General features: G+C 40.2%; 1 protein-coding gene, 1 long non-coding RNA gene and 1 pseudogene across 5 annotated transcripts in view; 1 reads left to right on the forward strand and 2 right to left on the reverse strand.

Annotated features, from left to right (window-relative positions):
* The window catches only part of PPM1H (protein phosphatase, Mg2+/Mn2+ dependent 1H), a 291,157-nt gene that overhangs the window by 189,628 nt on the left and 74,127 nt on the right, over positions 1-27,402 (reverse strand). The window lies entirely within an intron of this gene.
* LOC105369795 (uncharacterized) overlaps positions 6,753-27,402 on the forward strand; it is a 60,653-nt gene continuing 40,003 nt past the window's right edge. The window contains exons 1-2 of one of the 2 annotated variants that reach the window (XR_945016.3): positions 6,753-6,998; positions 17,120-17,272. This is a non-coding gene — a long non-coding RNA (uncharacterized LOC105369795). The remainder of the gene's footprint in view (positions 6,999-17,119; positions 17,273-27,402) is intronic. The other variant, XR_945015.3, reaches the window with a different exon arrangement.
* On the reverse strand, positions 17,118-17,280 carry RNU1-83P (RNA, U1 small nuclear 83, pseudogene; annotated as a pseudogene).

The following is a 27,402-nucleotide window of genomic DNA, read 5'->3' on the forward strand; positions in this document are numbered from 1 at the left end:
AAATAGGAAATGGAAAGCAAATTGAGATTTGAGTGCCGCAAGATGTAAGCGAGCGTGTTTCAAAGCACACTTCTGCCAAACTCTGGAACTCTATGGAGGTGTTTCAGAAATTTTAACATTTTCTTTATTTTAAAAATGTATACACATTTTTAAAAAATGCAATAATTTAAAAGTTCATTCCCATCTGTACATGTGATCAAATAAATGCAAGTTGACATATTTTGGGCAGCTTTAGCATATTAAGCCATCTATCTTTTCAATTGACCATATCATTGATTGGAAGGAGAATTTTTTTTTTAACTACTATTTGCAATTACTTATCTGAAAGTTCTAACGAAAAGATCATATCAGTCATCTATTTCCTCAATTTCAAATTTCTGTATCAATAAAAAGGGCTTCGCTGGTCCTATCGGGTTTACTACTAATTTCAACTTTAGCATATTTCTATAAACAAAAGCCTATGTTTACTTATTTCACATATTACAGTATTTCCTAAGATTTGTCTTTAAGTGGACTGTTGCTTACAAAGTTTGACAATTGTTGTCCTGGGGCTTGTCAAATTGGCCTCGGGGGCTTATCACACACTCTCAGGGGCTGAGCAGTGGGGAAAGGGAGGATTCAATGTCTATTTTCTTGTCCCACCTTCAAGGAAATGCATTTCCTCTTTCCTCTAAGGAAAGACATTTTCATATGGCTTAAGGATAAAATGTAAATATTAGGGACACAATGAGGCTACCTGCATGATGGTTAATCCTACCGCATTTACTGCCTGAGCTAAGCAACTTATCAGAAGCTCCACAGCCAGGAAGTGGCACAGCTGGGATTCAGAATGAGCCTATCTTGACCCCTAACCCAACCTCTTCCTATTGTGCCCTGGGGACATCAGTCTGTGACAGGTTGAGCTGGACTGTGGGGAAGCATAGAATAAAAAAATCAGGCAAGGTCTGGTCCAGGCCTGAGAGGGCGGGCCTTTCCCAGCATCTCTGGCTATTGGAGGAGTCTGGGAAAAGGCCCAGGAAAGAGGAAAGAACAGGTGGCTCAGATCTGCCTGTCCCTAGAGAAGCTCATGCTATCCAGGCCAAGTCACTGGGGGGGCCTGCTGCTGAAGCTCGTAGTACAGAACATGCATTCGTCTGGAACGTGCCTTTTACATCTCTCCTCAGAGAACCAAACCAGGCAGAGGAAGGAGGTCCAAAATACCACCTGCCTCCTCTCGGTCACTGGTGGTGACTTCCCAAGCAACATGTTTGGGGTGGATTTTTTACTGGGTGATGTTATACCACCATGGTGTCCCAAATGTGCGCCTTCCCTGGGGAAAGCTCAAGTGGGGGTTCAGCTGGGAAAACCTGTTCATGACAACCATCCCTCCATACTGTCATCCGTACAAGATCCTGGATGCTATTTCCAGAACTTGGCATCACTCTGACCACTGGCACCTAATCTTGGGCTGTAGAAAGGTGTTTTTTCCTTTGGTTTCGTTTTTTGAACCAAAAAAGCATCGCTGATCTCCAACAGCTACATGCCAAGGTGACTCATCCACCACTGCCGTTTCCAACAGACAACAAAGCTACTATAATTACATAAATCACGAATCCCTGTCCCCTTAACGTGCTTCGTCTCCTGTCTTTCCCTGAGTGGTTATTAAACTCCAAAGTTGACCTAACTTCAGCAAGAGGTCTTAGAAACTTCATTGCATGCATATGAGAAAACCAGTGACCTGGATGATCATGACTGGCGCAAGGTCACACAGCTAAATGCGAACACACTTGGGAGTTCTGAGAGCTTTCTGCTTCAGCTCTTGGGTTGTTTTATTTTCCTATTGTGCATCTATTCTTGTCGGTGCCTGGTTCAGAGGTCTGTCCTGCAATGACTCAAACCCAGGGAACTGTGAAAGAACAATTACTGGTGCCCTTACTTTGCCATTTCATGTTGAACGTAGCTTATGAATAGCACTAATGAAGTATCAGACAGTCAGAAATGTCAATCTAATGGGAAGATGGTGGTCCCACCTATGTAAGCCTGTTTTGTCAGAAACCTGATTACCATTCAGATGATAAAATATTAATTTAAATATTAAATTTTAAATATCAATTTAAAGTCACTGTGTTTAAAAAAAAAATGCCACAACTCTTATCCCCTATTTTATATTATTTCAACTCCCCTACTTTACACAGCTTTAGTAGAAAGGCCTCATTCTTCTCAATCTCATTTGGCTCTAACAAGTTTGACCAGTATCAACTTAAATATTTTATTTTGCACTTCAAAGGTAAATGCTTTGTTAACTATATGTGAACAAAATCTTTAATTTTATAAAAAGTAATTGAGAAAAACTTTGTTTCACAAGCTGAGGAGCAGCATGCTGTTAACAGATTCAACAGATTCCTTAAAGGCAAGCAGGTGGACCAGGGGCACCACTCCATTGCTGTATGCTCCAGCGTAAAGTCAGTACCACCTTGAGGTCAACAGGAAAAACGACTATGCTATCTACATTCTTGGCCTAAACAATACTTACGCATGATGCTTATTTTGAAGGCTTTAAAGAAATGCTGGTGGACCACGAATCATCATACCTTTGGTCACATTATTTTCCAGTTTACAAAGAGGGAAAGTATTTTTCTGGAAATTAAACTGGAGGTAATAAGTCATGGTGGTTCTTAACAAAAACTATCTCCCTAGAATACAGCACATAGCAGGTGCTCAACAAATGTTTACTGAATGAATGAATCTGACAGAAATCAACTCTGCTACTTCCTAGGTGTGGATAACAGTATCTCACATTTGTTGAGAACTATGTATGAGCCAGAGACTGCTGTTAATATTTTGTAGAAAGTAATTAACTCATTTCATCCTCTTGTCAACTCTATAAGGTAGCTGCCACTGTTACTCCCTTTTTAAACGAAGTCACAGCTAGTGACTGGCAGAGTAGTTTGGTCAAGTTACTTAACTTTTGCAAATCTCAGTTCCTTAGCTGTACTTCATGGATTAAATTCTATGACTTATTAAGATTGTGTGTGTGTGTGTTGGGGAGGGGTGTTTTAGTCATCATAATTAAACACATGGGTAATTTTGAAGTTAGGTTTAAATTCAAGTAGGAAAAATGTTAGAGGTTGAAAGTGAAGCACAGCTACTGTCTCCTCAATATGGAAAGTTTATACCCAGTTTATTCAACTCTTAGAAGAACAAGACACATCTGCCCTGGGAGAGACACATGGCAAAGTTAAATTTATTTATATACTGCTTTAACCTACCAGCCTACCTTCAACTGAACCAAAACCCCTAAGATTTTTCCCTTTGTAAAAGTAGGTAAACACAGACCTTTACAAACTTGAAAGTAAAAAATCCTGTATGTGTATCAGATACACCTTGAAATTATAACCTAAATCTCAGGAATGAACATGCATGAGATCATAGCAATAGCAGAATCTACTTAAAAGGAGCAAATGATTCATTCTGTGTTACCATGATACACACACTTGGAAAACTCATTTTTCTTCTATTTGTGAAATACTCTAGTCAATTTATTTTGTAATCATCACCACCTCAATTTCAGCAGAAAAGTCTTGCTTTTACATGCAACTGTTAAATTGTCAAGTTATCTGCCTTCTCACCTTATAAACCTGACTTCAAGGACACTCATCTGATGACATGACACTTAGAAAGCATCCCTATCACTAAACACAGACAAAGTAAGTACCTCAAGTATTCTCACATAGTGGTCCTGTCACAAAGGCCATTGGCCCCAGAATAGTTTTCAACAGATTTACAAAAGATAGCCAATCAACAAAGGACAGATTGGACATTTTTGAAGGTTTCCCATGTGGCATGTATGGTGCTAAATACTTCACAGGTGGCAAAGTCACTCAACACCAACTCTCTCTCCCTCCCCACCATGAGGCATTCAGCATAGTGCAGAAGGCAGACACAGGGACAATGGTTGGAGAGAACTGATTCAAACTTGGTCTCTGTTAATTACTATCTCCAGCTATGGGTACTTGGGCAAGGTACTTTTTTCCCCTAAAATAAGAATAGTCACTTCCCATCAGAAAAGAGTTATGAGAATTAAATGCTCTAGCATGAAAAGTATTTGATGAGTGCCTGGTACATAGTAAGCACTTAAAATATGTTATTTAATAATAATACACCAAATGCAAAGCTAGCTGCCTCTTCTGTCAGGACCCAAGGATGTTATCCAGCCATGCGAGTTAGAGGAGCATCTCCTCCTTTCTACGCCTTTCCATCAGCATCCCTCTGCCTCCCTCAGGAACACATGGCCAGACATCCAGAGCCTTCAGGGACAAGGCATGACACTTCCCAGAACAGGGACCTCCTCTGAGCCCTCTTCTCAAGCCACATGCTCTGTACACAGGAGAGTATCCACATGGTTCTGAACATGCTGCTTCCAGATTCCCACCCCGATCTGCCCACCCACATCGGCTCTGGGCCCCCAAGCTCCTGGCCTCAGAAGCACAGGTCTCAGGACTACAGAAAAAGACCAAATAGAGAATCTTCTTTTGTGGTTATTGTTGTCTTGCTTTGTTTTCAAGGAAATATCAAAGCCTTGACAGTTCAGGCTAAAAAGTTTACACTAAGTGTTCATACTGGTTAGCAGACAGTATTGACAAATGTTTAAGGACAGGTGTCTCCTGAGGGCCATCAGGTGAAGTGAGATTTATATATAACTAGGAGGTAGACAGTAAAATACAGTGTGTGTGTGTGTGGGGGGGGGGAGATGAATAACTTATGGAAGACCAAATAAAGCTATCAATTATGAAAATTCTCTTTTCCAGGTAACCTCTTGGGCAATGTCTCATGTGGTTCTCTCAAGTGGTTACTGGCCACACAGATGGGCTGGAAAAGAAGGACAACTTAATTCCTAGCTGCAGTAATAACCTCTTATTCTTGGGGTACTGAGAAAAGAAACCACAGCTCTGACCAGGAACCTAAGCATTTGGTAACAGCCATCAGCAAATCCAGCTGGATGGCCAGTCAAAACATCCATCAAGAATAATAGCTTCTCTGGCCGGGCGCGGTGGCTCACGCCTGTAATCCCAGCACTTTGGGAGGCCGAGGCGGGCGGATCACGAGGTCAGGAGATCGAGACCATCCTGGCTAACACGGTGAAACCCCGTCTCTACTAAAAATACAAAAAATTAGCCGGGCGTAGTGGCGGGCGCCTGTAGTCCCAGCTACTCGGGAGGCTGAGGCAGGAGAATGGCGTGAACCCGGGAGGCGGAGCTTGCAGTGAGCCGAGATCGCGCCACTGCACTCCAGCCTGGGCGACAGAGCGAGACTCCGTCTCAAAAAAAAAAAAAAAAAAAAAAAAAAAAAAAGAATAATAGCTTCTCCCAGAGGGTTTCACCTGGCTCCGGGTGGCAGGGGGACAGGAGATCATCTCAGCCTGTTCACAATCCATGACCAGGGAGAAGAAAGGATGGTATAAAATGAATTTGCTGTGGTGTTTGGCTTTCACGTTTTTGAAGGTGGCTAAGTAACATCTCATGACTTGTGTGGTAGTGTGGCTGGGCAGTCTAAGTGCCATCTTGTGGAGGAAGCCACATGTAAAGGCAGAATAAACACAGGCTAGGAAGAGGTCCTTCTGTACCCCCACAACCTTAGATCTTCTGGCTCCCAGGCTCTGTCTGTGGCTAAGAGCAGTGACCAACGAGGTGTTGCAAACTGGGGTCTCAAGGGCCACATTCAGCCCACAATCAGATTGATATTTTAAAATTTTTGTCCACAAAGTGTTCATTAAAAGGTAAATTAGTTGCCAATATTTTAAAATTGGGATATTTACATTAAAATCTTAATTTTCCAATTTCTTTTGAAAATTAATACATCCAGCTACACACATCACACTCTTGAATGACTATAATCAGCTGGACCTGAGGAGAGGCTGACTCCCGCGAGATAGGACATGTCCTTGCTAGTTTACCCCAGATCTTACTCTGTCCACTTTTGTCATTGAAGTGACCAGCCTGGCCTCATGGGCATTTGAATCTGTAACCTTGCAATTAGATCTCTGTGACTTTATGAGTAAATCCAAAAAAAAAAAAAAAGTCAAGATGGCAAGGAGATGGTTTCTACTCTCAAGGACCCTATAGTCATTTATGTTAGTTTTAGTCCTTCTGGGTTTCTGACACAAAATACCACTCATTGTTGTAATCCCAGCACTTTGGGAGGCCAAAGCAGGAGGATCATTTGAGGCCAGGAGTTTGAGACCAGCCTGGTCAACATGGTGTGATCCTGTTTCTACAAAAAAAAAAAAAAAACACCCAGTGTGGTGGCACGTGCCTATAGTCCCAGGTACTTGAGAGGCTGAGGTGAAAGGACTGCTTGAGCCTAGGAGAAGTTGGATGCTGCAGTGAGCTATGATTGTGCCACCATACTCTAGTCTGGATGATAGAATAAGACCGTGCCTCTCTAGAGAGACAGAGAGAGAGAGAGAGAGAGAGAGAGAGAGAGAGCGAGAGAAATAAAAAACAAAAACACACACAACATAAACTGGGTGGCTTGTAAATTTCTCACAGTTTTGAAGGCTGAGAAATCCAAGTTCAAGATATCAGCAAGTTTTTGTGTCCAGTGAGGGCCCCCTTTCTGGTTCATAGATGATTGTGTTCTCACTGTGACCTCACATGGCAGAAGAGACAAAGCAGCTCTCTGGGGCCTCTTTTCTAAAAGCACTAATCCCATTCATGAGGGCTCCATCCTCATGACCTGAACAATTTCAAAAGGCTCCACCTCCAAAAACCATCACACTGGCGGTGAGGATTTCAACATATGCATTGGGAGGGGAGGGATGCACACATTTAGTCCATTGGCCCTTCTCACAAAAACTACAATTTGCTTGAATTAATGCCATACTCAAGGCCTATGTCGCAAGGGATCTGAGAATACAGAGGAGGCAAGTCAACAAAAGAAGAGTCAGGGGAAGTATCACAGATGAAGAGGCATCTGAGCTCAGTGTTATGGAATGAAGGAAATCAACACTCAGAGAAAAGGTAAGAAAAGGCTCTCCCAGCAGAGGAACAGCCTGTGAAAACTGAAGATGTTGTGAAGTTTATAAAGAGGTGTAGGGTGTGACCTAAGTATTGGCTTGGTGAGGGAGCTACATCAGAACTAGACCACGAAATTTTATAGGAGCTTTATTCTATTCAGCCTATAACCAATGGAAGAAATCTAAGACTGTTTAAACTAGGGACTGATATGATCACAGTTACTTTAGAAAAATAACACTTGTGGCTTAGTAGAAAATGGGTTCTAGAGGACAAATGACAAAGGAAGAACTCAGGCAGGGTCTCTTACAATAGTCCTAGTGACAAAGAGGTTGTGAACCGAACAATGGCTCTCGGTGGAAGGGAAGAGAGTAGGCGAATGAACCGAGAAGTCCCATGAAACCTGTTGGACATGGGTTATGGAGAAGAGAGAAAAGAGGATGAATCCCATGTTTCCAAAATGGCAGAATGAGGAGAATGAGGTGCCACTGATAATGAAGGGAGGTGAGAAGGTGAAACAAGTCTTGGTGGTGGGGAGTTCTGAGGGGTGAGATAATGCAATTGGTTTTAGGTCAATGAAAAGAGAGTACAAGGTACCAGAAATTTCAAAGTCAGTAGCTGCCAAGTTCAACTTAAACAGTGGCTGGCAAACTATTGCCCATGGGCCAAAGCTGGACACTGCTTGTTTTTACACAGCCTGCAAGTTAAGAATGATTTTTATATTTTAAGTAGCTGGGGGGAAAAAAGAATATTTCATGTCAACATTATGTAAAATTCAAATTTCAGTTTTGCTGGAACACAGCCACATTCGTTCATTTACATATTGTCTCTTGTGGTTTTCATACTATAATGGCAGAGTTATTAGTAGTTGCAACAGGGACTATCTGGCTCACAAAGCCAAAATTACTTACTATTTGGGTCTTTACAGAAAACGTGTACTGACCCCTGAACTTATTAGGTTGAATTATCTGAAATTGTTTTTGCAGATCAAAAACAGTTGAATACTGACGATTTCACATAGTTACACGTAATACATAGGTGAAGCAAAAGAGAGATACAGGTTTGGGTAGAACTTAACATGCAGTTTGGCATTAGTAGTAACATTAGCTGTGGATACACTTTGCTTTACCATTTGGAGGCCATCACTAACTTCTATCCCCTTCACCAATATAATTAAATAACTGAGAATGAAAAAACAAACAATAAAGATCAAAAGAAGATATAATGTTGCCTCATAGATTTCCCCCCATAAATATCAGCGTTTTCTTCTTCATATTGGTTGTTTAGAAATGAACATTTAACATAGTAAAAATGAAAATCAGAAAGTCATCTTTGTGTATTTCCTTTCAATAATCCTCTGGGTCCCCTTGGCAAAACCATTAATACCACCAATGTCCAACTTCCTTATTTAAATAAGGAAGTCTGTGCTCTGTCAGATGCTGGAACAATTCCCGTAGAAGGCCCCAGTGCTGCTCTGTTGGAGCCAACTGAAATCAAAATAAACGCCAATCCAAATAAGATTGAAGTGTTGAAGTTTTGCATAAAATAAAGCAGAAAAAATGCTTTTTGCAGGTTTAGAACAATATCATTTGTATATAGCTATTTGCATCTGTTGGTGATTAAGGGAAAAAAAGCAAAGTTCTGCTTTTCTAAAGATCAGATTTTGTTTTATTTACCAGCTGTATCAGTACTATCGGCAATGTGAGAAATTTTTTTAAACAAAAAATTTTTTTGAAAGTCAGTTTCAAATGTGTAATTTAAACAAAATTTTTTTTGAAAGTCAGTTTCAAATGTGTAATTTAAAAACCCAAACTTTAAAAAGCCTGAAACTAATAAAATATGAAACCAAAAGACAGAAGTATTCTAATCTCAACAGACTTCAGATAAAACATATACATTTTTAATTGACAGGTCCTCAAAAATCCCAGACACCACCTAGGCTTTCTCCTTGTTGCTGGATAAAGAAAATATTGGACTATCTAGGCCTCTGGTATTTTTCTTTAAACCTTAAAGTAACACAAGAGGAATAAAGTTATACAGAAGGGGACTGTTATGTAGTAAGGAGGGTTTTAAGCCCTAACTTGGGAGTTATCTTTAAAGAGGTGCTATCCACCTTCACATAGGAGGCCACTCCACCTAAACATACAGCAAAGCAGGAAACATGGGAGGGGCAGGTAGACAGGTTTTTTCTCTGCTAGAAATTGGAGACGCAGTCTCATACAGCTTTTAAGAGCAGAGAGACTCTGGAACCAGACTCCCTAGGTTTGAATCCTGGATCCGCAAGTAGGTAACTGCACTACTTTTGGCAAGTTATTTCCCTGTGCCTCAGTTTCTCATAAGATGGGGATAATGAACAGTATTTTTCTCATATGGTAGCTGTCTGACTGTTGTAAAAAAAGAAATGTTAAAAGTGTTTCATAGGCTGGGCATGGTGGCTCACGCTTGTAATTCCAGCACTTTGGGAGGCTGAGGCCGGCGGATTGCTTGAGGTCAGGAGTTTGAGACCAGTCTGACCAACATGGTGAAACCCTGTCTCTACTAAAAATACAAAAATTAACCAGGCATGGTGGTGCGTGCGTATAGTCCCAGCTACTTGGGAGGCTGAGGCACGAGAATTGCTTGGAACCCCGGAGGTGGAGGATGCAGTGAGCCGAGATGGCGCCACTGCACTCCAGCCTAGGCAACAGAGGGAGAATCTGTCTCAAAAAAACAAACAAACAAACAAACAAAAAACCACAAGTGTTTTATACTTAACAACTTAATGCTTTCAACTGTAAACGTGAGAAAGGTGTTGTTATTATCCTCATTTTATTGGCCAAATCAATGTCATATGCATGATGACTTATTTAGGTAAATGTCCTAGGTGAGCCATTCTGATATCTTCTTATAGCAACTGAGGTTTTACATTATGTATTGTGCTCACACATATGATAATCTTGCAATTAGTTGCACAACAGACTATAAATAAAACACAGGTAACACAAGAAGGAATTGTGACACTTCACATGGTTTCAGTACTTCAATATATTTTTTCCAAGGCAAGCACAGTATTACTGCAAATGTACATTAAAAGTGATAATTAATTTTCCCCTTACTACTTCAGTCTTTTTTAAAAAGTACTTTTTAAAAAAAGTACTTTATTTTAACTGAAAACAATCTGCTTTGAAAAATCTTTACCCTAGTGTTAATTAACCTGCAGAGAAAGTGTGTTTCCAGATTAAAGACTGAACAATACATCAAGTAGCCCTTTGAAAACTAGCTGTTATCTGATCAAATATTTTTACCTTTGTCCCCAGACCCAGGGCAAAGCTCAGTTAGCAATCCAAGTCTCCCTAATTTACAAGGGAAAGAACATGCTAATTTAGCCCTTGAGGTCTCAGAATAACCCATCTGAGTTTCATTTTAGGCAAACTGATTTCTCTACCCTAAGGAAGCTAGAAAGTACAATAAGACTTTGCCTTTGTCAACCTTAAATAACGAGATTCAGAAATTATGATTAAGCATCGAGTTTATTCCAGCGCAGTGCAAAGCTTAAGAACAGCCACCTGGGCAGCACACACTCCAAATGGATGGGGTTGGTGTTCCAAAGTGGGGAAGCTAAGGTTTCACTTATATAGGCAGAAACAGTTTTAGCAGGGTTCAGCACTTTCTGTACAAAGCCAGTATGTAACATTACAGTGATTTGCTTAGTATGGATTACTACATTCCAAGGAAGATTGCTTTAGCATTCCTGAGGAGAAATAATGTTCTGAGGGGCAAGGGGGGCGTCTTATCTCTGATGCTGCTTCTTCATTGCTAATCATTTATAGGAAAAAGCAGAAATAGCAACTGCATGCTACATGATTCAGGCTACGTAGCCACATTCCCCTCAAGGCTCAAGATAACTTAAAGTTCCAACAGCTTTAAGTTTGGATTATTTAATTTCACACTTTGAAGGAGACAAATGCGCTGAATGTAAGCGATTTTAAATTAGATGCTTAATACCATCCTTAAATAAAAAGGACAAGGTGGACTACCAATATATTTCAATTAGTCAAGGGTAGATGTGTTCCAAAATGTTGTGTGTTTATTTCAGTTGTGTTCTCCCTATCTCAAATCACATAGCACGGAGTAGGTACTCGATAAATGTTAATTGAATGAATAAACAAATGAACTCATTTTGCCATAACACCCCATGGGAGAGAGACTAGAATAATGACGGTGTTCTAAGCCTGCCTATATATTTCTTAAAGCTTACAATATTTGGAGTTTCTCCTCATTTGATTTCTGCATTCCATAGAAAAAAATTAATTATAAGCACTTCTACTAGGAAATGAGCTTGGGAGTAGGATATGTTAAAGTGACCCCTAAACATTCTCCAGCAAAGAAGTAGCTGATAGATGTCAGAGCCTAGGGTACCTCTTCATCCAAATTCCACCTCTGGCTTCTGCCTTATAAATAAGTTCTCACCCTATTAACAGTTAGAGCCGACCAAGAAGGCCCTGGAGGGCCAGGATGGCTCTTTTACAACATCAAAAGACTACTGCAAAGGAGGGAAATTCCAAAGGTCTAAACAGGACCTGGAAGTAGCAGAAAGATAATTCTGACACTATCGGTTTGAAGCTACCCAGCCATGCAATGAGTTACCTCAAAAAGTAGAATTCCCTTCACTGGAAATGTCCAAAAGCTGGCTTATGACCTCCCAGGGATACTCTGAGGATCTCTGCATGGAATGGGAAGTTCCTAAGGCTTCTTTTCTAACTGTTGAGCCTATACCTCCATCCTCTTCTTGCCTCCATCTGTAGTTAATACAAAATCTATACTTCTTTCAGAGCTAAAATTTACATGGAACATAGTTTTAGAAAAGGGGAGTGGTACTTCTTGCTGAGGCAATTCTCTGACACCTGGTAGACCATATATGAGGTATGGAAAGTCTTGTAAAAATGGAAATTTCATTGACTTGACTTCCTATCCCCAACTAGACCTTTAATACGGGTGTACAAGGGAACCTCAAGTGCTGCTGTTCCTTGGGGCTGCAAATGTGGCTTGCTGTTCTTCCTCCCCAGACAACTTTCCCTGGGAGATCGTCTCTATTCCCAAGGCTTCATTTAAGATCCAAACACTAAGCACTGCCAAAATCATATCTACAGTACAGATCTCTGGGGGTGCCTGGCCTGTGTTTCCAAATACCTGTAGAATATCTGCCTTTGCATGTTGCACAACATGCAAGCTGCCCAACCCTATATTCATTTCTCCTTCCTTCTGCTGTCTCCTTCCTGTCTCAAATACAATCCTCCTTCTGGTGTTCTTTGTCTTAGTGGACAAAGAATTCCAAGGAGCATCCTTGTCCTCCCAGCTTACTACTCTCCCCACATCTAGCTTCTCAGCCTGCGGGGCTAAGTCATAACTATGACTTACATCCCCATTTCCATGCCTTGTCCAGGCCCTTGTCACATCCAGCAGGCACCAATATTTAAACCTCCTAACCTGTCGTCTCTTCTTAGTAAATCCTGCACAGCAGGCCCGGACTGACCTTTCTCAACCGTGAATGTGGCCATGTCTCTCCCATGCTCAAATATCTCCAAATGGGCTCTGAAGATTTCAGGATAAAATTTAAACTTTTGGGCCAGGTGCGGTGGCTCACGCCTGTAATCCCAGCACTTTGGGAGGCCAAGGCAGGCGGATCATCTGAGGTAAGGAGTTCGAGACCAGCCTAGCCAACATGGCAAAACCATCGGTACTAAAAAAAATACAAAAATTAGCTGGGCATGGTGGCAGGCACCTGTAGTCCCAGCTACTAAGGAGGCTGAGACAGGAGAATCTCTTGAACCCAGGAGGCGGAGGTTGCAGTGAGCCGAGATTGCGCCACTGCACTCCAGCCTGGGCAACAGAGCGAGATTCCGCCTCAAAAAAAAAAAAATTTTTTTTTTTTTTAACTTTTTAGCTTACCATATCAGTGTCTTCCTGACGGGCCCTCTGAATATCCTCAGCTTCCCCCATCTGGTCTCCTCGCACCCCCTCATCCTTAGCCATAATAAACAGTTTGTGGTTTACAAAAAGCACCCAGTTGCTACATACCACGATTCCTTCTCACATGCCTTTTCCACCCCCTGCAATGACCTAACCTCCTCTTGTCTGACAAACATCCCTTGTCCTTCAGTATTCAGTTTGTTAAGGCTATTTTGCATGCACTTTATTGTTCTTAAAGACTGCAGTGTAACCAGTAAGTAGCACAGTGCTCATAGTATGGAAATCACCAGAAACTTGGATTGGTATCCTAGCTCTGCCACTGGCTAGTTGTGTGTCTTGGGGAGGTTAATGGGCTACTGTGTGGACTAAGAGAATGCATAAATGTAAAGTGCATATACCTGTCAGAGATGTTTTTATCTGCCCAGACTCCCTTTCTCCTAGACATCATCTTTCCTTCCCACCCTCCTCCGTCCCATTCATATGGTTTTTCCATGGCCAGAGGTGACTGGTTTAGGGATGGCCACCTGATCTCTGAGCTGAGCCAATTAGGGCCCTTCTGTGAAAAATGAAAGAAAGAAAAAGGCAGCAGAAGGCAAGAAGGGGAAGAGAGGGAGAGACAAAGAGGAGAAGAGTACATATTTGTGAGAAGAGTACATGTTGGAAATAGAATCTCAACAGAGTCCCTAGTTCTAGGTGTTCCCAAGACCCATTTGTCTTTGGAATATCTGGGTAACCCCAATATTCTCTAATAAATTTCCCTTGAATGGCTGTCAATTGCAAGCTAGAGTATAGCAAGACCCAACTCTCAATACACCCTCACTATACTATCATTATTAAACTGCAAGGGCCGTGAAGGTAGGGGTAGAAACTTATTTAATTCTGTATTCTCAGAGATTAGCATAGTGCCTGATATACTGCAGGCAGTCAAGTACCTACTAAATGAAAGGTTTGTTGACTTCAGGGGAGAAATTATAATTCAGGGTTAAAATTTATATCACAAGCTCAAGGATCTCTACCTAACATCCTGTGCTAAGAGGTAAAAGACAACAAGAAGTAGCAAATTTTTGCCAGTTATGACCAGAGCAAGCCAGTGAGGTAAACATCTGACAGCCACTGATCAGGCATATTTAATCTTCTGAATATCTTTGATTTATTATCAATTGAGTAAATCAAAGTTTATTTTAAGGATTCAAAAAAAAAGCTGTTAAACTTACATAGATAACTATTACTGAAGCTTACCAAGAGTAGACAGTAAGCTGTTCAGAAATCTAGCAACTGAAAAAAAAACAAATCATCACTCCCATGGCCTGGGATGCGGAAGGACTCAGAAATTGTTGGAAATTCCACAGACTCAAAATGAGGTAACTGTTTACCTTCCTTATTGCATTTTAATCTAGAGATTAAAATAGATCTCATTGTTCCAGAATCCTGCCTATGGTAAGAAATGAGTTCTCAATGGCTGAGAATAAATTTTAATAGCGGAACCAGAAGCATAAGAGAGGAAATCATGAGGAAAAATTTTTCTTCATAAAAAGGACCATGAGGTTAATTTTCATTTCATTACATTTCTAAATTGCATATATTTTTGTATGCTGGTTGCAAAATATCCTTTCTGTATTGACATGAAGTATAAATTAATCAGTAAATACATAAAATTCTTACATCCTACATTTTCAAAATAGCTCCTAACTCATTAATTTATTCCAAAAATAACTAAGGTGCAAAAGTTCATTAATAAGATGACTGATAAACTTGATATATGAATTAACCAAAACCAACACCAAATCACCGTTAGATTCAGGCTTACCTGAAAATTTTATTAAACCACAACTTAATAAAACACAATACTAAATGACTACAAATGCAATCTAGGACACTTTCCATGGCAAGCTATATTTAGAATTCCAAGCTCTGTTGGGTAGAATGGTTCTCAGATTTTCATGTGCCTATGAGTCATCTGGAGGACTTCTTAAAACATTGATTTTAGGGCCCCACTCTCAGAGATTCAAACTCAGTAGATCTAAGGTAGGATCTGAGCAAAGCTCCCAAGTGGTGGTGACACTTTGGGTTTACTGATGATGACTGAGTTGCACTGGCCTGGATGAATCATGGTCGTTTTAATTTCACCAAGCACTGGAATTCCCCTGCAACCTCAGCCTCATTCCACTGAGCTAGAGAATTGTACGTGATATACCCTTAGTTTATAATCCACTGGTGGTGGCTGGTACTACCAGAGTCAGAAGCTCAAGAGACTCCTAGAGATGGAAAGGGGATCCTAGTGAGGCATTGAATTATGGTAATAGGAACATAAACCTGGTGGGGTTGGGGGGGCAGTCACTGGGAGTGGGACAAGGGGGACTGGGGACTAGGATAATGGGGACTCCCAAAAAAGTTGGGAACAAAAATACTGGCAGGTCATTAGCTGCAGGGGAAGGGAGTGGGAATAGTGGTGAGTGAGAGACTACCTCACATGGAATTCCTGTTAGGAAATGGTTGGGAATAGAAAAGAAATGGTAACAGAGGGTGGGAGAGGGCAGGGGACACACAGGAAGCTTGTTTCCCAAGGCGGAAGTGGCTGCCATACAAAGGGGTACAGGGCATCTGGATTGCTCAGCACATCCAACCTGAAAGGTGAATAACCATCTGGGACAACTCTTTTTATATCAAAGATAATGATACACTATCTAAATTATCAATTACAACACACTTTTACTAGAAAGAAAAAGGACTGAAATAACACTTGTAAATACTTGTGATTTAATTGCATATTGTCTCAGTTGAGCCTCCCAACAACAAGATAGATAGGGAAGGTATTATCTGTCCCATTCTATAAAAACTGAATCCAGAAAGCTGATTGACCTGGGGTCAGATAGCCATTGGGTGGTAATATCAGACTGATATCCCACCTGATTCCAAAGCCTATTCACCCACTACCCTATGCAGCAGAGAAAGGAAGCTGAGCAGCTCTCAGATCTAGAAGGAAAACCAAGGGTCCACTAGTATCATACAAGCCAAGTGTGAGGTTTTAAGAGGGAAAGGTGCCAGGTGCTAAGAAAAGTTCAAGTGCCCACTAGATATGGCAAAGAGGTTATCAGTGGCCACTGGTAAGGACTATAAAATTCAAAGTACTAAAATACTCTCCCCTCCCAGAGGAAGAAAAGTTTTAAGATGATAAAATGCACTAAGTCTGAGATGGAATGCATTCGTTTCCAGGGAAGTATTTCACTTGTCTGCTTCCTTTTTATGAATAAGTTAAAAACTTGAAAGAGCATCCATGCCTCTACACAAATTTTAGCTCTAATCCAAAGGTGACACTGTTAAACAACTGCTCTAAAATGCTGTCACAACTTTCTAGAAATTATAAATAGCAATTTACAGAGTAATTAAATAACAATTTTTTACTTTTTTATTTTTTTGAGACAGGGTCTCAGTCTGCCACCCAGGCTGGAGTGCAGTGGTGTGTGATCATGGCTCACTGCAGCCTAAACCTCCCAGGCTCAAGCAATCCTCCTCCCTCAGCCTCCAAGCAGCTGGAACTACTGACGTGAGCCACCATGCCTGGCTAATTTTTTTTCTATACTTTTTGTAGATACAGGGTTTCACCATGTTGTTCAGGCTGGTCTCAAACTCCTGGGCTCAAGCAATCAACCTGCCTTGGCCTCCCAAAGTGCTGGGACTACAGGTGTGAGCCACTGTGCCTGGGCAACAATTTTTTTAAGTTAGCTTCAAATTCCATGGACATTTCAAAACTTAATATATATGTTTTTGTAGTTAAAGATTTACTGATAATTTAGTTTTAAACTTTCAAATTATTTTTTAAAAATAATTTTGACTCCTGAAAATTAAATAAAAATTTTTGAAAGCACACCCAATAATTAAAAACTTAACTGCATAGCAAATTGGTAATCTAACAATACAAATTAGTAATCAAAAAATGCAAGTGACTTTTAAACAACTATAGGACAAAAATCTAAAGAGGAAAACTGTAAAAAGCAAAAAAATCCCAAAATGTCCTTGGCAGTTTTACTGTTAGAAATATTGGTATTGACATGTTGAAACTATGTATATATGGATATATAAAGATATATTTTAAAATATATATTATATAAAATATATATTCTAGTAACATATAGGTAAAATATATATATATTTATATTTTTTTCTTTTTTCTTTTTTAGGGGAAAGCATGAATGCAGTCCCCCACTACCACAAATCATGCAGTCGAGTTTCGCACTTTTGGGGAAATCACAGGGGTCAGCACACCCAGAGTGCAATGGATAAACCTCGCCCTGGGAAAACCACCTTCGTGATCATGTTATCTCCCCTGCCAGGTAAGAATGGGATATAGAATAAATGTTATTTATTAACAGCCATAATTGTTAATGTAAGGCAATAAATATAAATTAAATTGAAGAAAAACCTTGTAATGTTAAATTTGAATTGGAGATATCAATATGAAGTCAACTGTTGAAATACATGTATTTTTTAATGCTGTCTACTCAAAGGGCCTGGAAACAAGGACATCCTAGGACTGTGAGCATTCTAAACACCCAGACTTTGGTTTCCAAATACTACTCCCCACTGAAAGAAACCAGCGTTTCTTGGCAAAATGGTGATTCCAGATACGAGACAGTAAAAGTGTAAGGTGAGGCAGAGGCAGCTTGTAGGGCCAGAAAGCATAAAAGCACTCAAAGATAATAGGGCATTTCAGAAGGACACAGGAGTATGTTTGAAGGGGCTATCACTGGTTAATTCTGAGTCAATTAACATCAAAAACAAACAAATATTAACACAGAGAAAAAAGAAATCCCTAAATCTACAGTGCTAGTTAAAAGGAAAAATAAAACTAAATTGCTAGGGCTGGGCGCAGTGGCTCACGCCTGTAATCCCAACACTTTCAGAGGCCAAGGTGGGTGGATCACCTGAGGTCAGGAGTTCAAGACAAGCCTGGCCAACATGGTGAAATCCTGTCTCTATCAAAAATACAAAAATTAGCCAGGCATGGTGGCAGGCACCTGTAATCCCAGCTACTTGGGAGGCTGAGGCAGGAGAATCACTTGAACCCGGGGGGTGAAGGTTGCCATGAGCCGAGATCGTGCCATTGCCCTCCAGCCTGGGCAACAAGTGTGAAACTCCATCTCAAACAAACAAACAAACAAACAAAAAACTAAATTGTTACAACTGAAGGTGACTATTATACTAGTTACTTATTCTGAAAATTGATAATTAAAGGAGAGAAATTAAACACTGACCTATCTTGCTGAGAAAAAAACTAGTTTTTTCCCAGTTAATAAAGTACTATGGACTGAATGTTTGTGTCTCTGCCAAAATTCATATGTTGAAATCCTAACCCCTAATAGGATGCTGTTAAGAGATGGGGCTTTTGGATGGCCGGGCGCGGTGGCTCACGCCTGTAATCCCAGCACTTTGGGAGGCTGAGGTGGGTGGATGAGGTCAGGGGTTCGAGACCAGCCTGACCAATATGGTGAAACCCTGTCTCTACTAAAAATACAAAAATTAGCTGGGCGTGGTGGCGGGCGCCTGTAATCCCAGCTATTCAGGAGGCTGAGGCAGGAGAATTGCTTGAACCTGGGAGGCAGAGGTTGCAGTGAGGCGAGATTGTGCCACCACACTCCAGCCTGGGTGACAGAGCGAGACTCTGTCTCAAAAAAAAAAAAAAAAAAAAAAAGAGATGGGGCTTTTGGGAGGTAATTGGGTCATGAAGGTGGAGCCCTGGTGAATGGGATTGGTGCCTTTATAAGAGAAACCCCTGGGAGCTCTCTGGCTTTCTTTCCTACATGTGAGGCTACAAGAAGGTGGCAGTCTATAACCAGGAAGAGGGCCCTCACTGGAACCTGACCATGCTGGCACCCTGATCTGACTTCCAGCCTCCGGAACTGTGAAAAGTAAATTTGTTGTTTATGTACCACTCAGTCTGCGATACTTTGTTACAGCAGCCCAGACTAAGAAATAATAAAGAAATGTTATTTTTTACAGAAAAATGCCATCATGTAGAGGAATTGATAATTGGAAAATAATCATTCTGCAATCTGCAATGACATAATTGGTTTGGGCAAAGATCATCCACAGATGCTAAATCTCTTAGATGAAAGATTATTGTCAAAAGAGTGGTTACGTGGTGCCACCTCACAGATTTCTTGCTAATTTCATGGAGATAAACATACCTTTACAAGGGAAAGATATGGTGGTGAAACCAAGTGATCAAACATGGGTCCTGTGAGTGGGATGACCCGGCACTGCATGAGTGGGATACATCTCCTGATGTGACGCAACTTGAAATGCACAGCATCAGCTAGAAAGTATTCTTCCCAATCTAACTAAGCCTTTAAGCATAAATCCCAGTGTACGGGAAACAAAGGAGATAGAGAATTGGGCTAAACATCACAAGGAAACAACTAGAAAAAACTAAAACATTATGATAGTCTGTAGAAAACTAGTTTGGTTTCTTCAAAAGGTCAACCTTATAATAAAAAGGCCATAAAAAGACATTTCTGGGATGGGGGCGGTGGAAATGCAAATATGGACCATATGTCATGAATCAATGAGAAGTTTCTCGGGGGCAATAATGGTTTGTGCTTCTGCAGGAGAAATGTGCTTGTTCTTAGGTGATTCAGACTGAAATATTTAAGGGTTAGATAATTTAAAAGGATTCAAAGGAAAAAATGTATTTAGGGAGATAAAGCAAACTAGCGAAATGTTAATAACATGAATCTAGGTGAAAGATATTCAGGTACACGTTAAATTATTCTTTCAACACTTCTACATGTTTGAAATGTTTAATAAAAGGTTGAGAGAAGAATCTACATCTTGCTTTAATCCTATGAGGAAATGAAAGTTTTTACAGATGCATAAAATAAAATGTGAAAACATATGTAAAATTCAAAATTATAGAAAAAGGAATAAAAGAAAATATCAAGAATGGGAGGAGTTTCAATGCACATATACTAACCACAGTTCAGATACTTATTAAAAATTAAGACTCAAATGTAGTTCTCGGTTTCCTGGCTGCCACGCAGAACTGTGGCCACTGTCGCAACTTTCCGTCATCCAAAGGCCAACACTGCTAGTTCTGTAGGGAAACTAGAGCTGGTTCAGAGGAAATGCTTCTTCCCATGGGTTTCCTATGGGAAAAACTCATTGATAAAGGGAACAACATCCTCATCATCACCCCCACAATATATGCAAGGGGAAGGGAGCCTACTCCTTTCTATTGTCTGTCTTGCTATAGAAGATAAGGAAGTTCTATTGTCTATCTCTCTACAGAAGGTAAGGGGGTAGTTCCAAAGTCAAGTGCACTGAAAGCCCTATTGGGAAGAGAGGTAGGTAGGGATGAAGAATAAAGACAAAATTCACAGAGTACTACAGAGATGGCCAAGCTGCACGTCATTCAAATTAACTTCCATACATGCCATCTGCTCCAAAAAAGTCTTCTGATAAAAAGCTGGGCAGCAGACCAAAAAACAAAACAAAGCAAAACAAAACAAAACATGAAAAAAACAACAAAAACCGTCATTTTCTGTTTGTTGCTCACATACGGAAACAAGATTGATTTCTGTATTGTTGAAAAGAGATCAGCTTTTTCTTTAAAGCTGAGCAGCACATTTACTGTTGAACTCTGACAAGTATAAACAGTGTAGAAATTACTTCTGGAAAAACTAGATCACTCAGGCAACTCTTAACCGCAATGGATGGCCACCCCACCTGCACATAGCCAGAGTTTTTCTTAAAAGTTACTCTGGTCTGCTGCAACTCAGGAATGATCTACAGTCTAGAAAATCTTAACATTTAATGCTGAAAAGTAACGCATCTGACACTTTGATCACTCTCCACAAGCTTTACCCTTTTGCCTTATGTGCACACTACTTCTAATTATTTGGGGTAGTCACAGGGGTGGGGGTGGGCAGGAGTGACCTTGGCAAGTTACTGATAGCTCAGTTTCTCCACCTAAAAATGAGGATAATTTAGTATTTAACCTCTCAGGGTTATGAAGATCAAATGAGTTTTATAACAACCTGTGAAAGCCTGGCATACTGTAGGGCCTCAAAAATGTTACAGCACACTTATTTTTTAGGTAGATTCATCGTAAGTAATCGCCATGAAATCACGAGTATCACATCAAAGCTTTACTTTTATTTAACAGACATTGAGAGAATATGCCTCTTAAATCATTTTGTAGCCATCAGAAATAGGTAAATGTTTGTCACTCTCTTCTGGAAGGCAGAATGACACAAAAGCAATATTAAAAAAAAACATAAAAATAAAAAATTTAGAAGTATGTTTGTTTTGGGAAAGAAGAGGGAGAATAGACCAAAATTTTCTTCTAGTGGTCAAGAGATACTTCCTATGACCCTGACCCTCACCCACAGTATAGGCTTAGTATAAGCTTCAGGGATTAGACATCTGGTAACTAATATAGTTTCCTCTAAACCAGCCACTTTCCAGAGTCAAACACAGGAGAGTCAGCAAAAGCCACTGTGTTAGAATGCTCTTGAAAAATTTCCCCATGTGATAAAGAATGTACTGATCCCAGTAATAGTAGAATAATAGGCCAAATGTAGGGTGACCAGCTATCCCAGTTTGCCTGGCACTATTCTGGTTTTAGTGCTGAAAGTTTTCCCACCCTCTCGCTTCCTGGCAAACCATGATGTTGGTAACCCTCCTTAAAGCTAATTTGCTCTTCATGTAAAACACTGCTCCAAGCGACACAGACTGGAGACTTTTTAAGTTGGAAACTGACATAGATATCAGACAGTACGTCCAACAAACTACTAAGTCTAAAGTTGAGGAAGGCAGAAAGGGGCAAACTATACTTCAGACACACGCAGAACCCAGAGAGGATTATCTCTGAGGCAATGAGCAGAAACAGGTTGTCATGGAATGAAGCCCAAGAGTCACAACAGATTTTGAACACTGCGGTGCCAAAAGCGCTAAGGTTTCAATTAGCAGCGAGAAAAGATGACTTCTTAGGACCCAACATCATTGGGTTAATGTGTTACATTTGGGGCTGATTCCTTGGATCCCTGGGATTTCAAGTTGTATGAATCCAATCTTCCGGTAATCAGTAGAAAGTTCAAGACTTTTTCATCTAAAGCACCCATGTTATTCCAGGTCTCTGGGCCTGTGAATGAACTGTCAAGTGAAGAGTCAACAACTGAGTCCAATTTTCATGCTTCTTTGCATGTCTGGCAATTTTTAATTAGATTCCTGACACTGATTTTGAGCTTATTGGGTACTGGATATTTTTGTATATCCATAAATATTCTTGAGCTGTGTTCTCAAACAAAGGGACATAGTTACTTTGAAAGAGTTTGATCCTTTCAGGTTTTCCCTTTAAGATGTGTTATGTGGGATGAGACTGTGTTAAGTGTACAGCTAATTATCCACTACTATTTAAGGCAAGACCCTTCCAAATGCACTGTGAATGAGGTTTTCCCATTTGGTTGATGGAAGAGGCACTATTCTTGGCTCTGTGCAAGCACTGGGTACTGTTCCCTCTAATGCATTTGGATGGCTTCTTCTCCAGCTGGTTTCCTCATGTGAATGTGCTGATCAGAACCTTGGTGAATACTTGAGGTAGACTCTCTGCAGATCTCCAGAACTCTCCCTCTGTACAACTATGTCTTCTCCAGGACACTGTTCTGTGAAATCTAGCTTTCTTGGTCTCCTCAGACTCTCAACTCCTCTTCAACTCAGAGGGTTTGCTTGGTTCTGCCTGGGTGGGGGCCTCTCTAATGAGCATAAGTTAAAGAGGGGGCAATCTCTCAAAGTGGGGACAATCACAGGGCTCACCCCATTTCCTTCCCATCTTTCAGAGATCACTATCTTTTGTTGCCTGATGCCCAGTGTCCCACAAACCATTGTTTCATGTATTTGTTGTCTCTTTTTTTTATTTTGTCAGATGAGATGGTACATCCAATGTATTACTGTTACTTCATCTTGGTTAGATGCAGAAATATCCCAGGCTCATTTTCAAGCTAGATGAAGGATATTGAATGTGCCCAATACAACAAAATGATAAATGTTTGAGATGATATGGTAATTGCCCTGATCTGATCACTATATGTATTGCAACATCATTATGTATCCCATAAATATGTACAACTATGTGTCAATTTTAAAAATTAAAAATTAAAAGAGGGAATCTTTGTCAACGTTTTAAAAATGAACTGATGCCAAACAGGATCTGACACTGTATCTAGTACTGCACTGAAAATTTTACTTTAGAGAGTGAAGCAGTATTTATAACAATGGATGGGATCTTGTGGCTTTTTGGGTGATCACAAGAGCAGGAAAGATCCCTACGGCTTCACAGGGTACCAGACACTTGGCATTTTGTCACAATAATCTATTTCACCTCCTAGCTATGCTAGGATATTAATTTACCTAAGAATTGTCTTTTCTTAAATTGGGTAATACATAGGTCTAATGTGTATATGTGATCATTATAGTAGTTTATGAATCAGACTCAAAGGTGTGAAAGGATCTTCTGGAATCATATAATTCCCTACTGTCTTCACCTTCAGTGAAGACCAGATTTCAGTGTGTGCGTGTGGTGGAGAAAGGAGGGATGTAACTTATTTACCACAACATCCCTAGCACCCAGCAAAGGGCTGGCACAAAGACAGCACTCAAATATTTTAACAAACAAACAAATAAAGGAAGGAAGGAAGGAAAGATTACTACTGTTTTGGCCAGTTAAATATGTAACATGAACTCAAACTCCATTCAGTGGTTCCAAGGCATCTTGAGTGAAACATATATAACCTCCTTTGTCCTCCTGGTTTGGTTAGAAGCAAAGGGAAGAATGGTGGTTGTGATCAATGAGAACACAGATAACTGGGTTTTGTAGTTGTTACCCAACTAATCCTAGTTTTTTAAAAAATTTATTGTATTTATTCACATAATAGGTAAGATTATAAATCACTCCAAAGACATAACATCTGCTTATAAAACAGCCTCACATGCTCTTTATAAGTCCAAATTGAAAGTTCTCTTTTAGTCTTCATGATGATGCCTCAGGAACAGATTCAGCTGTTTTGGGTCTGGGTTCAAGTCCACTGAATGTCAAGTTTTTAAATTTTATTTAAGCCCTTCATGCTGAAGCTCAAATTCATGTTATCACATTGCTGTCACTGAAGGTCCTACTCAACCTTCACCTCTCCAAATTAGACCACCCTTGCTTGCTCTTTATACTAGCCCCTCATAACTCTGAACTTTATATTAAACATTTATTATATTGTGCACATTATATTTTATTGTACTCATTTGAAGGCACAGTTAGTTTTCTTTGTGAGGGTTTCATGAGGGCAGTCATGCACCCAGGTCAGCGCCTTGCATATATTTTTATATGATAATTACTTAATGTATATACCCTTATCTATTTGTCATGAGGCTTCAGACTTTTTATGGCTCCCCTTTGACCCATCTTTCAAAAATAAGTCCTAGTCTACATTTGCAATGGATCCCCAAATGGACCATTACCACCACCACCACCACCCCATCACCCCACCACGCCCCCTACCACTCCCCAGATAATCTCTCCATTGCTTTCACTTCCATTTGATTTTACATCTCTTTCAGTAGCTGCCACAGAGAGCCTTGTATTATAATTACATAATCAGGTATCTTTCTACCCTATTAAATTGACAAGAATCCAGAGTCAGAACTCAGTAGTATTCATCTTTGTGCTGCCTGCAGGATGTGGCCCAGAGATTGGGGTACAAATAATTATATTATGCTATTATTGATTACAGGCACCAATTGAGATTGGCTAAGCCTTTCCCTAGGGTTTCTAGCCAGTTTAATAAGCTAATTTAGGCTCATTTTTCAGCCCTGCCAAGTGTAACTGCAAAGAGGAAATGCTTTTTTTGTTGTTGTTGTTGTTTTTTTCATAAATAACTCTACAGGTTTCCTAAAAGTTTGCTTTTCAGAAACCACTTGCAAGCATGCAATCTGTCTCCCCTACTGTCCACACCTCCACAGGGCAGAAATTGTGAGTAAACTGCCATTCCTATAGTGTCCCGGCAGGTCTGCCTAAGCTTTCAAAACTGTCCTCAAACTTTTTTAGTCAAATTTTACACTGTGTCTAATACTCAGTTGACAGGAAAACTGAAATGCTGGTCATCAAAATCTTCTTAAGGCTTTAAGCAAATAAGGAGATATGGGTAAACATGACTATTATTCAATGTCAGTTTTATTCCTCAGCTATAACACCTTTATAATTTAACTGCTTTGGTACAATACAGGAGCTTTAAATACCTCTCACTCTCTGCCAGATGAGGAAGATGAACAGTCATGGGGGACAAAATGTTTTAATTCATAGAATTTCAAGAGAATACAACCTAAAACCCATTTTAAAGATTTCTTCCTTTATTCTAATTGTCACACATTAATTTCTCATTATTTGCTTCATACTATGTACAAACACAAATGAGCTAAAAAATCCGTAAAGTCAGAAGCTAACTTGGTAGCAACAGGCTGACAATTACCATAATGGATACATATGAATTCTATAACCATATACATTGATCCAGCTTCAGTAACAGCAGCAAATGCTATCCCTGGAAGAAACAGGGGAGGGGTAGCTTAAGGTGGCTGTATTAGGAAACAAGCCACTAGGAAGCATGCGATCTTCAATTCTAGTTCCTCATTAACATTCATCCAAAAAACAAGGGGGAAATAGTGTGTAAAAAGCAAGGTCAGATCTCAAAACAGGTGGATGTTACATTTTCACATCTAGCTCTGGAATCAGTAATTTGTTCATTTTTGTGCCTTTTCCGGCTCCACAGGTAAAGCAAGATGCCCAAATGTCTGTTTTCAAAATGAACCCTGCAGTGACTTGCATTTTAAACAGCATGGTGCATTATCTTTAATAATAGCACTGGCCACATTTTGGAGGAAGTTAACTGTCTCAGCAAATGACAGAAAATGATCCTTTCACATCTGCAGCTAGTAATCTAAGCTCTGAATAGTGATTCATTCACATCAGTCAGTCAAATAATGGCCTAATTCCTCTTCCAAATTTATACTGCTTATTGTCTTATGGAACAATCACATATGCAAAGCCTTCAAGGCTTTGCATTCAAAAATGTCAAGTTAGGAAATAGATCACCTGAATGAGAAGAAACAAAGCTATCATCTGACACCAGTGCTTGCCACCAGGCCCTTCACATCCCAAGGGACAAAGCCCCTGCCTTGAAAAAACCTAAGGAGAGGGCACATCCATTGTTGCTGTGGGGGCCACCTTCTGCCTAGAATTTCCTCAGTAGGCTTCTCTTTCACTTCTTAAGAGACATTCAAGAGTTAGAAGCACAGAATTAAAAAGGAATACAGCATGCGCTAACAGAGAACATTATAAACCCAAGAGGCTGAAAGAGAAAGTAGGCATGTGTGCTTGTCTTCTGGGGAGGTGAAGACGTGAGGATAATCTGTTCTCATGCTGCTATGAAGAAATATCCGAGACTGGGTAATTTATTTAAAAAACAGGTTTAATTGACTCACAGTTCCACATGGCTGGGGAGGCCTCAGGAAGCCTACAATCGAGTCAGAAGGAGAAGCAAATACATCCTTCTTCACATGGTGGTGGGAAGGAGGAGTGCAAAGCAAAGGGGGGAAAGTCCCTTATAAAACCATTACCATTAGATCTCGTGAGAACTCACTATCATGCAGACAGCATGGGGGTAACCACCCCCACGATTCAATTACCCTACCGGGTCCCTCTCATGACACATGGGGATTATAGGAACTACAATTCAAGATGAGATTTGGGTGGGGACACAGCCAAACCATATTACAGGGGATGTTGAAAAGAATCAACAATCAAAACCTTGAAAGTATACCTTTCAAGCCTAAAGATCTTAATATATATCCATTTAAAAAATCAAGAAACAAAACAGGCACAAAGCTCTATGTCATCTAAACTGATAATTATGGGAAAAGCAGAAGTCAGACTTTGAAAATGATTTATATAAACTGTTTCATCTTTCAGATGAAGAAAATGAACTGTAGAAAATTCTCCAAGTTGTCCAAGGTCATATGGTGATAACCCTGATTATGACGTACTGAATCCCTGACGCATCTCCTACAACTCAGTGTTGAAAGGCTCAGCATGCCTTGGTGCTCCTCCTTCCAAGCGTAAAGATTAAATTTACAACATCACTATAACCTCTGCCTTCTAAAGAATCATATTCCAATATCCCCTGCTCCGATTTACAGCAGTTTGAATTGTTGCTATTAAGTTTCCTCGCCACAGAAACAATGGGGTTGTTGGATGAACATGGCTTAACACTGACTGGGTGTGGGAAAATGAAACTGCACTGTCTCTTATTTCGTGTTTTATCATTTACCCAGCACTTCCAGATGCATCATCTTCCTTAACACTCAACACTCCTATGTGGCAGGAAGAGCAGGCATTACACCTCCCTTCTTCTAGATAAGAAAA

This window comes from Homo sapiens, chromosome 12, assembly GCF_000001405.40.
Source record: "Homo sapiens chromosome 12, GRCh38.p14 Primary Assembly".
NCBI lineage: Eukaryota > Metazoa > Chordata > Mammalia > Primates > Hominidae > Homo > Homo sapiens.